We start from the raw sequence: 18801 nt of genomic DNA, 5'->3' as shown, positions 1-18801 counted from the left end.
ATCAAAATACTACATTGTATACCTGAATTATATATAATTGTTACTTGTCAATTATATCTGAATAAAGCGGGTAATAATTTTATATTGATTTCATGTTGAAATAATATTTTGGATATGTTGGGTTAAATAAAATATATATTAAAATTAATTTTATGTTTCTTTTAACTTTTTAAAATGTATCTTAAGGCTAGTCCAAGTGCCATCGTGTTTACAACTGATTGATCACAAGCAATTGCAAATTTCTTTGTTCCTTCTCCACTCTCACTGCTTCATTTGACTAGCCTTTAAAAAATGTGGCTTAAAAGTGAGTTTAGGCTGGGCGTGGTGGCTCTCGCCTGTAATCCCAGCACTTTGGGAGGCCGAGGTAGGTGGATCACGAGGTCAGATCGAGACCATCCCGGCTAACACGGTGAAACCCCGTCTCTACTAAAAATACAAAAAATTAGTCAGGCATGGTGGTGGGCGCCTGTAGTCCCAGCTACTTGGGAGGCTGAGGCAGGAGAATGGCGTGAACTTGGGAGGTGGAGCTTGCAGTGAGCCAAGATGGCGCCACTGCACTCCAGCCAGGGCGACAGAGGGAGATTCCATATCAAAAAAAAAAAAAAAAAGTGAGTTTAAAATTACATATGTGCCCTGTATGATGTTTCTAGTGGACAGCATTGCTGCTCTAGAGACACAGATAAGTATCACAGCACTCATCATGTTATATTTTAACGGCCTTGAGAGAAAGTTGGGGTTTCATGTAAGCACATAGGACAGCTACCCAGCAGTCTTAGAATAATGAGTAGAAGACAAGGACATCAGAAGCTGGCCACAAAAATACCAGGCCATCCACTGAAGTAATAGACATTTGTAATGACTGAACCATGATAACTTTTCTGTTATCTATGGAACACGTCCCATCCCAGTGGCAAGTATTTATACCTGGATGACTTTACCATTGTTCAAGTTCTAGGAGTGGGTTCCTGACTTACATACTAAGCAAGGCCAAGCGGGTTGAAAGGCACAGGGTGATCCCAGCTGGCCTGAATTGACCCCAGACTAATCTTCAGAACCACTAACTATCGGCAATCACTATGAAATGTATTTACTAAAGATAAATGATGCTCTGAAACTATGAGTCTTCAAGTTGTTTGGGGTAGGATGTATGAGTCAGTTAGCATTATTTAGTAATAATAACTGGATGGTATGATTTGCACCTGGTTTCAGTGGAGTCCTGGGGCTTCAATCACTGAAGTGTATGTCACACAGCTGGAATGTGCCCATGTGATCAGCTCACTATAAGTGACCTCCACTACTGGACTTCTTGGAACTGAGGTTCTGCACATGTATGCCAGTAAACCTTCAAGACCTGGAGATAGAGTGCCCTGTGCAACCCAGTTTTAGGAGGATAAAGAAGCCTGTATCTGATATCTCTGGGACCCCTGCATTACCTATCTGTCTTCTGCTGTTGCTGTACTGTTTCCCTTGTCTGTAATAAAACTACCCCATGAGGATAAACCATTTGAGTGTTGTGAGTCCTTTCAGCAATCAAACACTTAAGGTGACTAAATTTGTAATTCAGGTAAGAGTTCATCAACTGATCATCTCCCCACAATAAGGACAGCTGGTATAGCAGACTGGCCAAAGTCTGAGCTCTGGAGTCCACCTGCATGGGCTCAAATCAAAGCTTCATCCTTTGCTGAGTCTCCTTGTGTGAGTAAATGGGGAAGTAATAGTCTATTAGTTTTTGTGCAAAGTTTTATAAAAAGGCCTGGCACAGAGTAGCACTTAGTAAGTGTTTGCCACAGTTAGCAAATTCTGTCTTTGGAGGCCCAGGAAGCAAATATCTAGAAGTTTACTGTCTCCATTTTCAGCCTTCAAAAGTTCATAAATATTGAGGTCTAGATCAGAGCACCCCTCTACACAATTAAAAAGTGCTTGTTATGATAAAGGGCAAGGGTATGATGATTTATCAATTTTTTATTTTTCTAGATAGAAAACAAAAATACCAGGGTATCTAGTCAAAGCTATTAGATGGCTCTAAGATCAAAGGAGAAAAGAAAAAATATTCTGAAAATTACAGACAGTACTATAAATAAAAGAGGTCTGCTTATTCTTGTTCCTTTTTAGTTTCTCTTGGGGAGTTTTACTCCCTTCAAAGTTTGTCCACCAACTTAGCCAAATGTACCACCATGTCTGCCCCCTCAGCCTTGACCTTTGCTCCAGGCCTCAGTTCCACAATCCAAACTGTCCACTGAATGTTCTACCTGAAGGTTGGGCAGGAATTGCAGCTTTGAATGCTTTGTCTTCTCCCCAGCCTGTTTCTTCAAGGCTGTCTGCAGGCTCGGCTTTCTAGTGGCATGGAAATCAATCTGGGGTATGAGTGCTGTTGCTGCACCTATTTGTCTTCAGATCCGTTCCTTGCCCGTTTCCTGCTTGGGTCAGCATCTGCAAGGCAGATGACCTCTGCAGGCTGTGATTCTCAGGCTCCCTGTGTCATATAGTTTCTTGCAGCATTCCCCTAATGGGAGAAACTGGCTGGCATTTGAAAGTGTGAAGGAAGACAGCAGCCAAGTTGTTTCTCCCATTTCTTTTTGCTTTGGGTGATAACCCCAGCAGTGGAAGCATCTTCTCATGACTCCAGTGCCCACAGAACAGACATGCCACCATTCCAGCCTCCAAAGATGACCCCAAACCTAGGCTCTGGTAATATTACCCCTTCTATTTTTCCCTCCAACCTAAGTGTAGCTGGGGCTTCTGTCTGTTGCTGATGCTGCATCACAATTTCTTGTTTGCTTTTTTGGCAAACTTCATCACCTGTGTAACCAATTCCCTATGTTAAATTCTCTGTGTTAAATAGTCCAGAATTTGTTCTGCTTTCCTGATTGGATCCTGATGATGCTGTAGGCATGTTGCCATCCAGGCACAGTTTCTGCTGCTGCAACTCCTTTGGTGTCTACAATATGGTGCTGGGGCAGAGAGAGAGAGAGAAAGGTAGAGCTGGGCTAATGCAAGTTCCTTTCAGGTGAGAAGGGGGATGGGAGAGGGTCCTATCTGGTTGCATGGACATGACATCACTTGGGGTGATTTGATAAAATATCATGACTGGGTACCACTCTGAGAGATTCTGATTTAACTTATCTAGGGTGTAGCCCAGGTACAGGTAATTTATAAAGCTCCCTGGGTGAGTCTAAGGTGGAGATGGAGTTGAGAAGCACTGCCCTAGATAATGAGAACCCAGCTGTTGTTGCTTCTGGAGCATGTGTGACTGTGTGAATGAGTGTGTTTGTGTGTGTATGGGAGAGAGAGAGAGAGACAGAGAAAGAGACATAGAGAGGACAGCAACAGATGATCTTTAATTTTTAAAAATAATTTTTTAAAAAAGAGGAGAGCAATTAGATAAAATTGTCAACACTGACACTGAAAAAAGCCAGAGGCTTAACAAAGAAGGAAGAAACCTGCACATTCCACTGAAGAAGTTGGAGGGGATTAGGATATGCCATCCCACATTATGATTCACTGGCATATTCACTATTTTGGGCTGAAGGCAACTGAGAAACAAAAGATTTAGGAAGGGCTGTCTTCCTCCTTTCTATCAAAAGTCAGGGCATACATTTCCTGTGAGAAAGATCTCCTCCCTAAACCACGAAGAAGAAAACATTCATACCACAGAAGATAATGAGTTGACGATGAGAGGAATCTGTACAAACAAACCTTGCTAACATAACACTTTTTTTCCATTAGTTTCCTCCATGCATTTTCTAGTCACTTTCCCACAATTTACCACCCTATCCCAAACCTCTTTTTCCTTTGCCTGATCATGTCTCCACAATTTATCATTCTTGGTTACAATGGTATATGAGCCCCTGGGTCTAACCATATCTTTGGGGTTTCACTTCTTTCTAAGAAACCCCCTGTGTCATGTAAAAATATTAACATCAAATAAAATGTGTATGTTTTTTCTTTTGTTAATCTGTCTTTTCAAAATTCATTTCATAGGCTCCAGCCACAGAACCTAAGAGGGTAGGGGAGTGTCTTTCCTACCCTACAAAGTCGAAGGCTAATTACATACAATATTTATGTGAAGAACTGATCATTATGCTTAGCCACCCTTTAACATCATCAAGATTATTCATAACATTTCATTAGCTATGTTTGTTGTGAGGTTCAGTTGTTTCCCTCAAAAAGCTCTATGAGTGTACAAGACGTGATGAATCAATAATGGACCTGCATTCACAAGTCACACATGCAAAGCCAGAAATCTTGTTTTTCTTATCAGCCTTCTGGGCCTACCAGTCAGGCAAAAAGGTCAGTGCTTTAAAAACACCCACATGGGCCGGGCACAGTGGCTCATGCCTGTAATCCCAGCACTTTGGGAGGTCGAGGTGGGCAGATTACGAGGTCAGGAGTTCGAGACCATCCTGGCTAACACGGTGAAACCCCATCTCTACTAAAAATACAAAAAATTAGCCAGGCATGGTGGCGGGCGCCTGTAGTCCCAGCTACCCGGGAGGCTGAGGCAGGAGAATGGCATGAACCCGGGAGGTGGAGCTTGCAGTGAGCCAAGATTGTGCCACTGCACTACAGCCTGGGCAACAGAGCAAGACTCCATCTAAAACAACAACAACAACAATAACAACAAAAACAACAAAAAACACCCACATGAAGACATTAAGAGGCTGAATCCACCACTGCACTGCCTCCTGCTACAATCCTTTCATTCAATTCAAAACACAGGCAGTCACCCAACATAGCAGGAGCCTAGTGAAGAAATATGGCAAGAAAATTCTGTTCTATTCAACAGGAGGCAAGTAGAGTCTGCTACTGACCAGCAAAAGGAGCAGTAACTTCCTCTGCACCCAGGAGCGCACAATATCACAGCCACTTCAGAATTTGAGGGAGAGTTTCCAGGTGAGAGTTCCCTGTAAAAATCTTTCACACTGTTTGAAAGTAACTAGATAAGATCTTGTTTAGAATGCACAGGATAGAAGCGCCTGACAGATAAAAGAGGGTGATTAACACCTCAGGGTACAGAAAGAGAATCTAGGAGCAAGTTGCATGAAATTCACAGCAATGAAAAGATCTTACTATAACAGAGGAAATGTTGAGTTTCAGTTAGTCATCAAATGTAGATAGAAAAAAAATCATAAAAGACATTAAGCCCAAGTGCTTCACTTTGCAAATAAAGAAACTTGGGACCCAGAGAAAGTAAGCAATTTGCCCAGGGTCACTGGCTAGTGAACTAGCAAATTACACAGAAAGAACTAGCATCTGGCCAGGCACCTCTTCTCTAAACCCCTGCTTCTCTAAGTGTGTGAACCAGCAGCACCAGCACCCCCTGGGAAAGTGTAAGAAATGCAGTCCCAGGCCCACTCCCAGACCTGCTCTTTTAGAATTTGCATTTTAATAACAACCCCAGGTGATCTATATGCACATTACAACTTGAGAAGCACTGCTTTAAACTACACTTTGATTTCTCTGGGGTTTTTGGTTCACCTACAGCTAGGGTTGGAATAGTCATTTTCTCCATTCCTTGAGCACCACTTGTTCTGGAACCTATTGTAGAAGCTGATATTAAAACTTATAAATATAGGAAGGGAAAGTGTAAATGATGTAGAATGAGGACTTTTGACTGGTTTTGTTCCCGACACCCATTTCTGTGACTTAAAAACAGCTAATCAAAAGACCTGGAACACAGAAAAAAACTTGGTAAAAATGTGTTGAACAAATAAAAAGCCTTGTAATATGTGAAGAAAAGCTTTCAGGACACAGACTTCCAACATTCAATTTAACACACATTTGTTAGGCATCTACTATGTGCTAGCTGCTGTGCTAAGTGGGAGATACATTCATTACTAACAGACTGAGAAACAGATAGACTGAGAAACTCACAGCCTGGTGAACAAGCTCTCAGAAAGTGTACTCCTAGAAGGCAAGGGTGTATCTTCACCCTTCTCCCTTTAAATGTACCCTGCACACAAAGATACCCCTTGCCAATATTCACAAGCACTGTTTTAATTGGAAACTTTCCAGGCTTTATTCATACAGTGGGGATTGTTGAGTGATGGGGGTGGATTGGTACATAAGAGCTTGGCTTCTCAAACTTCTGTACATTTTACTCGCTCCCCCACTAGATTAGAAATCCTTCTTATCTAATCTCTCCACACATTCCCTCCATCTGCTCCTTCTCTGCAGAGTGCTGAGTCTAGGATGGTTTGATGAAGAGATGGAGGTTAGCTGCTTTACTGGAGCAATGGCCCTCTGTGTGCTGGCCCAGCTGCCAAGTGACTTCCTGGTCTCCTCTCTACAAGATGCCTCCCCCCTGAACTGCTTGAGTAGCCGTGTTGAAAGTTATCCTTGAGTTTATCTTGGGTTGGATATTACATTATCACTTCTTGAGTTGGGCTAGCACCCAGCTACACTTCTTCACTATGGCTAACACTTGGAAATGGATAAAAGAGGAAAATAGTTCATCAAAAGCTGGTCACTTTGTTCTCTGCAGAAAGGAGACTTCAGCCAAAGGCCAATGAGAGAAAAGGAAATAAAGGCTTCAAGGTCTCTGGTTGGGGTTCACAGCTGGAAATATTATCCAACAGAAGAACTCTGGCTGGAAAGAAGGAACAGCCTCTTTGCTCAGATAGCATTGATGATGATACTGTTAGTAATATTATCAAGCTCCTAATATGCATCAGGTACAGTGCTAGCTACTATATATGCATCATCTTATTATGTCATTTAATCTTTTCAACAATGCTATGAGATAGATTTTTTTTTACCATGCCCTTTTTATAGACTGATTCTGCAGGAGACCACAGAAGATAAAAGAAAAGAAAGAAAGAAAGAAAACTTAAATTCATTCAATGCTAATTATACACCAAGTCCCATGTTAGGATTTCTCATATGTCATAAGATAGGTGAGGGAGTGGATATATAGGAAAAAAAAAACTAACGCTTGTTAAGAATGGAATTTTATGGCATTTTAATTTGCCGTTCTCATTTTCCTCTCTCAAGTTCTGTGGTAACCGTGAAAACTAGCACCCCAGCAGTCACTAGAGGAGGCAGGATGAATTTGGACCTCCTCAGTTAACCTAGTGATCAGTTAATGACTGGACAGAGGTTTCCTTAAACCTCTTGGCAAAGGGTAGGAGACTTACTGGTTTAAGGAAATTTCTGTCCAATCATTAACTAGTTACTAGGCTAACTGAGTAGAGACATCTCTTTTTTTTTTTTTTTTTTAAGATGGAGTCTCGCTGTGTCACCCAGGCTGGAATGTAGTGGAATGATCTCGGTTCACTGCAACCTCTGGCTCCCAGGTTCAAGATATTCTCCTGCCTCAGCCTCCTGAGTAGCTGGGATTACAGGCGCATGCCACCATGCCTGGCTAATTTTTGTATTTTTAGTAGAGACAGGGTTTCACCATGTTGGTCAGGCTGGCCTCGAACTCCTGACTTCATGATCCAGCTGCCCTGGCTTCCCAAAGTGCTGGGATTATAGGCATGAGCCACCGCACCTGGCTGAGACTTCTCTCTTTAAAGGGAGTACATGACAGAAAATACAGACTATACAGAATTAATTCAGGAAATTCACCAAACAAACGGCAAAAACAACACACAGCAACATCAGAGGAGAGGCAATCTGATTTCCACAGTTGTCACAATACTCTATTTCAATATCCAGTTTTCAACGAAAGTTAGTTCTTTGCCAACAAAATTGGCAAATCTTTAGTTAGACTAGCTAGTCTGACAAAGGAAAAAAAAAGACACAAATTATTAAAATTAGGAATAAAAAAGGGACTATCATTAATGATGTTACAGAAATTAAAAGAATGATAAAGGAATAAAATAACTTAGATAATCTCAATGAAATGGAAAAATTTCTAGAAAGACATAAACTACCAAAACTGACTCAAGAAGAAACAGAAAATTTAAATAGACCTATAACAAGTAAGAAAGTTGAATTAGTAATTTTAAAACTTCCCATGATGAAAATTCAGGCCCAGATTACTTTTCTGGTGATTATACCAAACATTTAAATAAAAATCCTTTACAAACTCTTCTTAAAAAATGGAAGAAAAAGGAATACTTCCCAATATATTCTGAGGCCAATATTACCCTTATATCAGAACTAGACAAAGCTATCACAAGAAATGCAAAGCACAGACCAATATATTTTATAAACATGGACTCAAAAATCCTCAACAAAATACCAGCAAGCTGAATCCAGCAAAAGATAAGAAGAAATTATATACCATGGCCAAGTAGGAATTATTCTAATACAAGCTTGGTTTAACATGCAAAAATCAATTAATGTGATATATCACATTAATATAATAAAGGACAAAAAAAAACCCACCACGATCATCTAAATGGACACACAAAGAGCACTTGAGAAAATCCAATAGCTTTTCATAGTAAAAAACATAGAAGAAAATAGGAATAATAGGGAATTTTCTCAATCTAATAAGTGGCATCTATGGAAAAACGCAGCTAACATCATATTCAATGGTGAAAGACTGAAATCTTTTCACTAAAGATAAGGTAAAAAAAAAACAGGATGTCCACTCTCACCACTTCTATTCAACATTGTACTGAGGGTTCTAGCCAGGGCAATAAAGCAAGAAAAATAAGTAAATGGCACCCAAATTGAAAAGAAAAAAGTAAAACAATCTCTTTTTGCAGATGACACAAGCTTGTAGATAGAAAATCCTAAAGAATTCACAAAAAAACTGCTAGAGCTAAGAAGCAAGTTAGCAAGGGTATAGGATATAAGATCAATATACAAAAATTAATTGTATCTCTATGTAGTAGCAATGAATAAACTGAGATGATATTAAGAAAAAATTCCATTTCCAATAGCATGAAAGATAATCAAATACTTAAGAATAAACTTAAGAAAAGAGAGCAAGACTTGCACACCAAAATCTACAAAACATCATTTAGAGAAGTTAAATAAATGGAAAGACATCCCATGTTCATGGATTAGATGACTTAATACTGTTGAGACAGCAGTACTCCCCAAATTAATCTACAGATTTAATGCCATCCTTATCAATATTCCAGCTGACTTTTTGGTGGCATAAATTAATAAGCTGACCCTAAAATTCATATGGAAATGCAAAGCACTCAGAATAACAACAACAACAAAAGTCTTGAAAAAGAACAATATAGAAAGAGGTGATGACTAGTTTTACATATCAACTGGCAAGGTACAGTCCTGAGTTATTCAAACACTAGTCTAGGTGTTGCTGTGAAAGTACTTTATAAATTTTATTAACATCTACAATCAACTGACTGGTTGTAGGAGGTCATCCTCAATAGTTTGGGTGGGCCTGATCCAATCAGATGAAAGGCCTTAAGAGGTATCTCTGAGGAAGAAGAAATTCTACCTGTGGACTATGGCATGAGCAACTGCCCAAAAGTTCCCAGCCTGTGCCTCCTGGCTCCCTGCCCTAAGGATTTTAGCAAATTCTTTGTAATATATCTCTTTATATATGTATACATACACAATTTTACTGGTTTTGTTTCTCCAGTGGAATACTAATACAGAGTACTCATATTTCCTGATTTCAAAACTTACTACAAACCTATAGTAATCAAGACTATGTAGAACTGAATAGGGATAGACACATAGACACATGTTTAATTGGTTTAACAGAGTGCCAAGACAATTCAATGGGTAAAGAATGGTCTTTTCATCAAATGATATTGGAACAACAGGATATCCACATGCAAAAGAATGAACCTGGACTCCCACCTCACACACTGTATACAAAAATTAATTCAAGATGGACCAAAAACCTAAATGTAAGAGCTAAAACTGTAAATAAAAACTTTTAGGAAAAAAACAGAGGAGTAAATCTTTGTACGCTTGCATCAGGCGATGGTTTTCAAAATCACAACCAACCAAAGAATGGGTAATAAATTGAATGTCATCAAAATGAAAAACTTTTGTGTTTCAAAGAACACTATCAAGAAAATGAAAAGACAATCCATAGAATGAAAATATTTGCAAATCATATATCTAATAAGGGTATATACCCAAAATAAGTAACTCTTACACCTCAAGAATAAAAAGACAATTAATTCAATTTAAAAAATGGGTAAAAAGTTTGAACAAACATTTCCCCAAAGAAAACATAAATGGCCAATATGCACATGAAAAGATGCTCAACATCATGAGTCATTAGGAAAATGCAAATCAAAACCACAATGAGATACCATTTCACACTCACGAGGATGGCTATAATAATGTTTGTTTTTTTTTTTTTTGGAGATAGAGTCTTGCTCTGCTGGCCAGGCTGGACTGCAATGGCATGATCTCAGCTCATTGCAACCTCTGCCTCCTGGGTTCAAGTGATTCTCCTGCCTCAGCCTCTCGAGTAGCTGGGATTACAGATGCTCGCCACCACACCTGGCTAATTTTTTGTATTTTTAGTAGATACGGGGTTTCACCATGTTGGCCAGGCTGGTCTCAAACTCCAGATCTCAGGTGATCCACCCGCCTTGGCCTCCCAAAGTGCTGCAATTACAGGCATGAACCACTGCGCCCGGCTGGCTATAATAAATTTTAAATAAATAAATAAATAAATAATTTTTAAATAAGGAAAATAAGTGTTGGAGAGCATGTGGAGAAATTGGAACCCATATACTATCCTTCTGCAAATACAAAATGCTGCAGCCTCTTTGGAAAACAGTTTTGCAGTTCCTCAAAAAGTTAAACATAGAATTACCATATAACCCAGGAATTCTATTTCTAGGTATATACCCAAGAGAATTGAAAACACATACCCCACAATGCACATGAATGGTCATGGCAGCATTATTCAGAATAAGCAAAAAGTAGAAGCAACCCAAATGTCCATCAACAGAAAAATGGATAAACGAAATGTGGTATAGCCATGCATGGACTGTTATTCAGCCATAAAAAGGATGAAGCACCGATGCATGCTATAATTTATATGAACCTCAACATCCTTATGCTAAGTGAAAGAAGGCAAACACAAAAGGACAAATATTGTCGGATTCTACTTATATGAAATGTCTAGAATAGGCAAATTCATAGGGATAGGAAGTAAATTAGAAGCTACTATAGCTGGGAGAAGTTTCTTTTTGAGATGATGAAAATGTTCTAAAATAAGATAGTAGTGAGAGTTGCAAAATTTTGTGAATATAGTAAAAAGACTGAGTCGCACACTTTAAAACAGTGAATTTTATGGTTAACTGTATCTTAATAAAACTGTTATTAAAAAAAGAGAGAAAGGTCCTGGCCCTGGGCCTACATACAAAAAATACACAGGGAATATATGTAATGAGAGTAAAGAGTACGCATGGAACCCTTTGCCTCTTGGGATCTGGCAATGAGTGCTCGCACAATGTAATCAAAACCTTAGACATCTATTTTTGTGACCAGCACTGTTCTGGCCCAGGGAACATTTCTCTACATGTCTTGCCCTCTGTCCTTGGAATAGAAGGTGACCACAACTGCATACTGTCAAAGTTTTGTGTATTGTGACACTGCCAGTGGAGGAGATGGACTCTTCTTAGAGCCTAGGAGAAACTACACTGGCAGAGCCACTTCAGCAGGAGAAAAGATAAATTAACCAATGTGTCAAATTCTTCTCTCAGTTTGAATGCAAAATATTCTTGCACAACAAACTATCATTCCCAATATTACCAAACATCTATTTTCATTATATTCCAACCAGCGCTTCTGAAAGCTCTCACACATTAGAATAACATTTGCAAGAGTTTTGCATGGCTGAGAAAAACTTTGCAATATCAAGTGTTATGGGTTGAACCATGTCCTCCCAAATATGTATCTTGAAGTCCTAATTTCCAGGTACCTTGGAATGTGATCTTATTTGGAAATAGGTCTTTACAGAGGTAATCAAGTTAAAATGAGGTCGTCACGGTGGATCCCAATACAGTATGACTGGTGTCCTTATGAAAAGGGGAAATTAAGGGCTACACATATAGGAAGACTATCATGTGAACACCAAGGCAGAGGTTGGGGAGATGCATCTATAAGCCAATGAATACGGAAAAATTCTGACACACTTCTGGAAAGGAGAAATCTTTCCTCATAGCCATAAGAAAGAACCAACCCCATGAACACATTGATCTCATACTTCTAGCCTCCAGAACTATGAGATACTAAATTTCTATTGTTTTTGCCATGCAGTTTGTGATACTTTCCAGCAGCCCAAGAAAATTAACACATTAAACAAGTCATATTATTCTTAAATTTGTACAAACCTAGGATAATGTATGAAGTATGATACTGATTTATATGATTAAATTGTAATATTTTGTAATATATTCTACAATAATGATTATTTGTCATATATGATTCCATTTCTGTGTTTGAACATGGCATGTATAATTCTTAGTTCATTTCCAAATTTAAGTATCACTTTAGGAATTTTATTGATAACTATAGCTGCCACTGGCTCCAGGGAGTGAAGTTTCTCCAAATTAAAATTAGTTTTACAGTGTAAGAATTACAACCAGGCATGTTGGCTGGCACCTGTAGTCCCAGCTACTCGGGAGGCTGAGGTGGGAGGATTGCTTGAATGCAGAGGCAGGGGTTGCAGTGAGCCAAGGTCATGCCACTGAACTCCAGCCTGGATGACAGAGCCAGAACCTGTCCAAAAAAAAAAGCAAGAATGACAAGGACTTAAGAAATTTGTTCAGGCCAGGTGCAGTACTTCAAGCCTGCAATCCCAGCACTTTGGGAGGCCAAGGTAGGTGGGTTGCTTGAGGCCAGGAGTTCGAGACCAGCCCGGCCAACATGGAGAAACCCCATCTCTGTAAAACATACAAAAATTTGCCAGGCACGGTAGTGCGTGCCTGTGGTCCCAGGTACTCAGAAGGCTGAGGTGAGAGGATGGCTTGAGCCCAGTAGGCAGAGGTTGCAGTGACCCAAGATCATACACCACTGCACTCCAGCCTGGGTGATAGAGCCAGACCTTGTTTCAAAATAAAATAAAATAAAATAAAACAAAAAGAAAAACAAATTTGTCTAATTTAGCGATGTTATCAATAGAATATACACTGTAAAAATCTTGCATAAAACAACTTAGGTAGTCATTTTCCTGAAAGGAAGGCAAACAAATTTTTATGGAACTAATATATAACAATCTATGAATTATATATGATATCTTTGGCCCATGAACAAAACATCCAGACATGCATAACAATGATTAAAATAGCCATTTTTCATAGTTCCTGGCTCTTAATCATTTAAAACACACCACAACTTTCTATGTATTTTAAAATTTTAACGTTAAAAAGGTATATTTGACACTGTGGGAAGATAGAACATATTTTATTCAACAATGTTGCTAGCTTGATTTATAACTTTTAAATATTTAGACATATGGTATGTGAACCTCTGCTTGTACTCATGCCCCAGGTCCTATAAGTGTTAGGGGTAGCCAGGACCCAGCAATGACAGAAGAAATGAAGCCTAAATCTATGAACGGAAACCAAACGAAAATATCAAGCTTGTTCCTACTGTAAACTAAAATATCATTCTGAAAGCTTCATGTGGAAACCTGATGCAGTCCCTCAGAGGAAGTGACAAGTGCCTTTCTGGGCCATAGTCCCAAGGGTCCCTACAAGCCCTTCCCAGGCAGGAGTTGTGTAGCCCTGTTGCCTCAGTGGACCTCAGCTCTCACCAGGTTTCATATGTCTAATGTATTTCACAGTCCTTACGTTCTGAATGTTAGAGTTGGGTCATAGATGCTCCTTTTATTTCTTTTGCAGTAACTCTGTGCCACTTTCAAATAAACAGAGCAATTTATAACTGTATTTCATTCCTCTTTTGGAAATAGTAGTGTACAATTTGACAAACAACCTTTAGAGGGACCTCAATGTTATGATATTCCCCATGGCTATCATTTTGTTATCTTCTGCCTGTCCCCTTGGAGAGAAGGTTGGCTGCCTATTGAGGGCTACTCCGAAGCTAGGCATGGGAACCAGCATTCTTTCTGGGAGTTAGTCTCAGGAAGTGAAGAACTCCTAGAGACAGGGGAAGTGGTGGCAATTAAGAGAAGAGATAAAGAGCAGGATGCATCACTGGGAAAGAAAAAAAAAAGGTACCAAAATGCCAACTAGGAATGCCAAAAACAGAATGGAGATGTAACTGCAAAAGGCCCCATGGGATTTCCAATTTGAATTGTATTTTATTGTAACTCCCTGCAAGCAAACATGGTAACTATACATTTCATGCTATTACCGACTAATGTAATAGATAATCTGACAGCTAATATAAAACAGAGATGCGTGATATCAAAGGATACTTTTTAGCTGTGGTTGAGCATCTTTAAGGAACTTCAATACCCTCTCCATAGATATCGGTTCACAACAGGGGTATAAAATCTTTGTATAAAATTAAAAACCACGAGAGACCTAGACTGGGTTCATCAGAAGGACAGCAGTGAAGAATGAAAACTTCAAGAAGAACATAGAAGGATATAATCATAATTTTGATAATAAAAAGAACTCTAATGCAAATACAACAGGCTGAAAGTCAACAACACAGTACTTAATAGTAAAGGCAGATTAGTGAACCACATTAATCAGCCTGGGATATAGATTATCAGCCACATTTGAAACACAGATTAACAGGAACAAATAAGGTACCAGGGTGGGAGACATTTTTACAAGTAACAAAAGTTTTCATCTTTGTTTAACTAAGACTTCAAAAGGATTCCACATATAACCAATGGTGAGACCATTGAAAAAAAAAAAAAAAAAGCAGATTAGCATCAAGAAATGCAAGGCAGAGTGACCAAATTTCTGACCTGTTTTAAGATCAATCAGCATTTTCTACCTGGGCAAGTAGAATGCAATTAGCACTTGAGTGATTTTAAAGACTCTTTTACAGTTGCCTTTAACTGGCTGATGAAATAGCAGAACTGTGTGGCTGAAGGCCAATGTTTATTTTTACCCATTACCTATTTCATTAATGGGATTGTGGGCCACTGGGCCTCCAGGCACACACAAATGTATTAAAATACCCCACACTGTAATTAAGTGGCACAGAGGGGATTGGAGCAAATTAAGTGGCTGTTATATTTGCCATAGGTGTAGTCTAGATCAAACATTTTGATGCTCTTGTGGCAGAGCCACAAAAATTTTATTTCAAAAGTCTACAGAGTATTGAGGATTTTTTTTTGTAGAGTAAGAGTTTTAATAAGTGGGTCCTTCCCCCAAAATAAAAATATAGATAAAGAAAAATGCCCCAAGTAGATACTCTTAAAGTGAAAGATGAGAATCCTTTAGCCAGAACAAATGACAAACGCATCAACAATAGCATTAGTGAAAGAAATTGGACCTTTAGACTCCATTAACGAGGGACTCAAAATGAATCAAACTTCCATGCAACTCTCAGTCCAAGCTTGGGACTTTCTTTCCCAGTGTAAGTTAGAACTTCAGCTTTTTTATTTTATTTTATTTTATTTTATTTTATTTTATTTTATTTTTTATTTTTGAGACGGAGTCTCACTCTGCTGCCCAGGCTGGAGTGCAGTGGCGCCATCTGGGCTCACTGCAAGCTCCGCCTCCCGGGTTCACGCCATTCTCCTGCCTCAGCCTCCCGAGTAGCTGGGACTACAGGCGCCCACCACGACGCACGGCTAATTTTTTGTATTTTTAGTAGAGACGGGTTTCACCATGTTAGCCAGGATGGTCTCAATCTCCTGACCTCGTGATCCACCCACCTCGGCCTCCCAAAGTGCTGGGATTACAGGCATGAGCCACCGCGCCCAGCCAGAACTTCTGCTTTTGAGTTCTTTAAAGGGAATAAAAAATAAAGTGATTACCTAATTGTTGCCCTGATCAATAATGAATTCATCAAAAATGCTTGCAGAAACATAGACCCTGAGAGTAAAGGTTCCTATGCCAGCACTATATCATTTTTTGTTTGATTTTACCAAATCAATCCATTGTTGCCACTAAATGTTAGATTCCTTCTAAAACAGTAAATGGAAGATTTTTGCTTTGATCATTCAGAATCAACATTACTACACTTGAGAATTCTGCCAATGGTGGTCTCCTGTGAATCTTTAGAGCAGAGAACAAGCAAAATGGAATGAGGGCAGGGCAAAATGGAATGACATCTGGAAGCCAGTATTTTGGCTTAAGAAGAGGACAACATTGCTTTTGCCCTAGAAAACCACGGAGAAACACTTAGAAATGACAAGAAAGGAGATAAAAGTACTTACGAGTATCCTGGACTTGCAGTGGGAGGGGGGCCTGAAGAAATGAAAGAAAAACAAAAGAAACAGTCAGTCTAGGTTATTGGAGGGTGAGTATGGATACAGTCAAATCATTACAAATTAAAGTTCTCAACCACCCAGAGGTAGTATTTATTTTTCTGGAATTTATTGTTTTGCTCTATTCCCCCAACCATCTCTATGAAAAAAAAAAAAAATACCAGTGAGAACGTGTCTATGTCTCACAATTCAGGGCCTGAAAATGCTAAGACAAGTGCTAAAAAAAGAGTTAATCGAGTAAGCATCTTCAAACTATGCAGGGAGTTTCCAATGGGCTGAGTGGTTGCATGAAGGTGTTGATTGCAACAGTGAGTGGGGCTTCCTTCTAGTCCTTGATGGCAGGAAAAGGGCCATGCACGCTGCGAACATTTCCAACTTCTTGGACAAGAAGCATCCTTGTTGAAAAGAGCTCAACGGCACGATGGTTTCAATTAGGGGCTCTGAGGTCAGAAAGATCCGGACCTCATTCCTGCTCTGCTGTTTACTAGCTGGGTAACATGGTAACTAACTGCTGGGCCTTAGTTTACTTATTTGTAAAATGGGTACAACCATACCAGGTTTAGGGTTGTGGGCACAGAGTACATTCTCACTAAGTGTGCATTCCTTCCTTCCTGTCCCTGTGGACTCTAGCCATCCTACCACATTGGGCTGAGGGCCAAAGTCCATCCCCAGTAGGGGTCTGCTTACCAAACTTGACAAACAAGACTCCAGTGGAAGAAACCACCTCCTTGCCGTTTGTTGCCACGCACTGGAAGTAGCCTGTGTCTGTGGTGTCGAGGTTTCTAATCCGCAGCCGAGAGCCATAGATGGTGGACCGAAAGGAGAGCCTCCGGGGCTCCTGGACCACAGGAGCATCATTTTTGAACCAGCGGATGGTGGGAGGTGGATTCCCAGAGACTTTGCAGTGCAGTTCTGCTGTCTGGCCCAGAGACGTGGTGATGTTATTCATTGGTTCATCGAGGGTCAGGTAAGAATCTGTGAGCACAGAGAGGAGGCAGGTGAGAGGGGCAGACAGCTTGAGAGGGCTTCCAAGCAGCCAAATCCCCTCCAGTGTACCCTTGGGATCACAGAGAGGCTGAGCAGGAGAGGCAGGTGAGACAGACAAGGAAAGAAACAATCACATTGATTAAGACCAGAGGACTGCTAAATAACCACCCATAGAGCCTGCTGCTTGGAAGAAAATTTGTCACTAATCAGAGTATAGAACCCAAAGTCTCCAAAAGACTACATGGATAAGCTTTTGTGCTTCAGATCAAAAAATCATATACACTCCTTGTTCCAAATTCCAGCATAGCAAAAGAGAGAAAATAAAGTTCACCTCAAATCTCCCCACCCAAAAATAACACCATTTTTAACATCCTGGCAAACATCCTTCCAGTTTGCTCACTTTTGATAAGAAAGAAAGCATCAAAAATTGGAAAAGTAGGAGCAACACATTCATATCCACATGGCACAAGATCAGAAAGGATGCCTGAAACTTTCATGTTACTGACAATATAAGGTTATGAAGGCCAGGTCAGAGGCAGACAGAGTAATAAAGCAATGGACATTTCCATAATATTACTGATATCAACCATAACATGTTACAATATGTAATTATTTTGATCACATATATATAGATTAATTCATATACAATACTGTGCAATATACAGATCTTAGTTATACAGTTCTATGAGTACAGGCAAATGCATATACTCATGTAACAAATGTCCCTATCTTGATAGAACATCAACAACCCAGAAAGTACCCCCACAATCTTTTGTAGTTGGTCCCTGCTCCCAACCACTCCCTCCCACCCCACCTTGAAGCAACTAAGGTTCTAATTTCTATTACCATAGGTTAATTTTGCCTGTTTCAGAACTTCATATAAATGGAATCATGCTGCATGTATATTTTGCTTTGGCTCCTCTTAAGATTTATTGCACTATGAATTTTAATAACAAAATAAGTTTTATTTAAGCTTATTCTTCAATCAAGTATTTAAACATCAATATTAATATTAGTTGTAGAATCCAATTGCAGATAAAATTATTTATTTATTTTTAATTAAGTTTGATTTCTTTTAAAAACGTGCTCTGTTATTCATGGGTAGGGAGCTTTCTTTGGTTTCATTTTTCCTAAGCACCCCTTCTTGGATAGATCCCCTGCCATACTTTCTCATTGTCCTATGTCCTTCCGTAGGTCCAAGTCTGGGGTAACTTGTTCAGCAGAGCTATCAGCCCCATAAGGGCAGGGATGGGAATGTTCTGGTCATCACTGCATCCTCAGTGTATACTACTGTCTAGCAGTGTTATCCACCAGAACTTTCTGCAATGATGGAAATGTTCTATAATCTGCACTGTCTGATTGATAGCCACTAGTCACACAGGGCTTACTGAATGCATGAAACATGGCTGGAGCAACTGAAAACTGAATTTTTAAATTTAAATAGCCACATGTGGCTAGTGGCTACTGTACTGGACAGCACAGGTAGAACGCCACAAATTTGTTGAATTTAATGGAAGTTTATTGAAAAGTAACATTTTTCTGAGCTATTTAAC

General features: G+C 39.5%; 1 protein-coding gene across 5 annotated transcripts in view; it reads right to left on the bottom strand.

Moving 5' to 3' along the window:
* ROR1 (receptor tyrosine kinase like orphan receptor 1) overlaps positions 1 to 18801 on the bottom strand; it is a 407482-nt gene that overhangs the window by 114572 nt on the left and 274109 nt on the right. For all 5 annotated transcript variants that reach the window (NM_005012.4, NM_001083592.2, XM_011541526.2 and 2 more), the window contains 2 exons: positions 16949 to 17236; positions 16211 to 16241 (listed from right to left, as the gene is read on the bottom strand). In NM_005012.4, coding sequence (NP_005003.2) covers positions 16211 to 16241; positions 16949 to 17236 — 319 coding nt within the window. The remainder of the gene's footprint in view (positions 1 to 16210; positions 16242 to 16948; positions 17237 to 18801) is intronic.

The sequence above is a fragment of the Homo sapiens genome, chromosome 1 (genome assembly GCF_000001405.40).
Source record: "Homo sapiens chromosome 1, GRCh38.p14 Primary Assembly".
NCBI classification, from domain to species: Eukaryota; Metazoa; Chordata; class Mammalia; order Primates; family Hominidae; genus Homo; species Homo sapiens.
The sequence above is the reverse complement of the archived record's forward strand: the minus strand, read 5'-3'. Positions and strand labels throughout refer to the sequence as shown.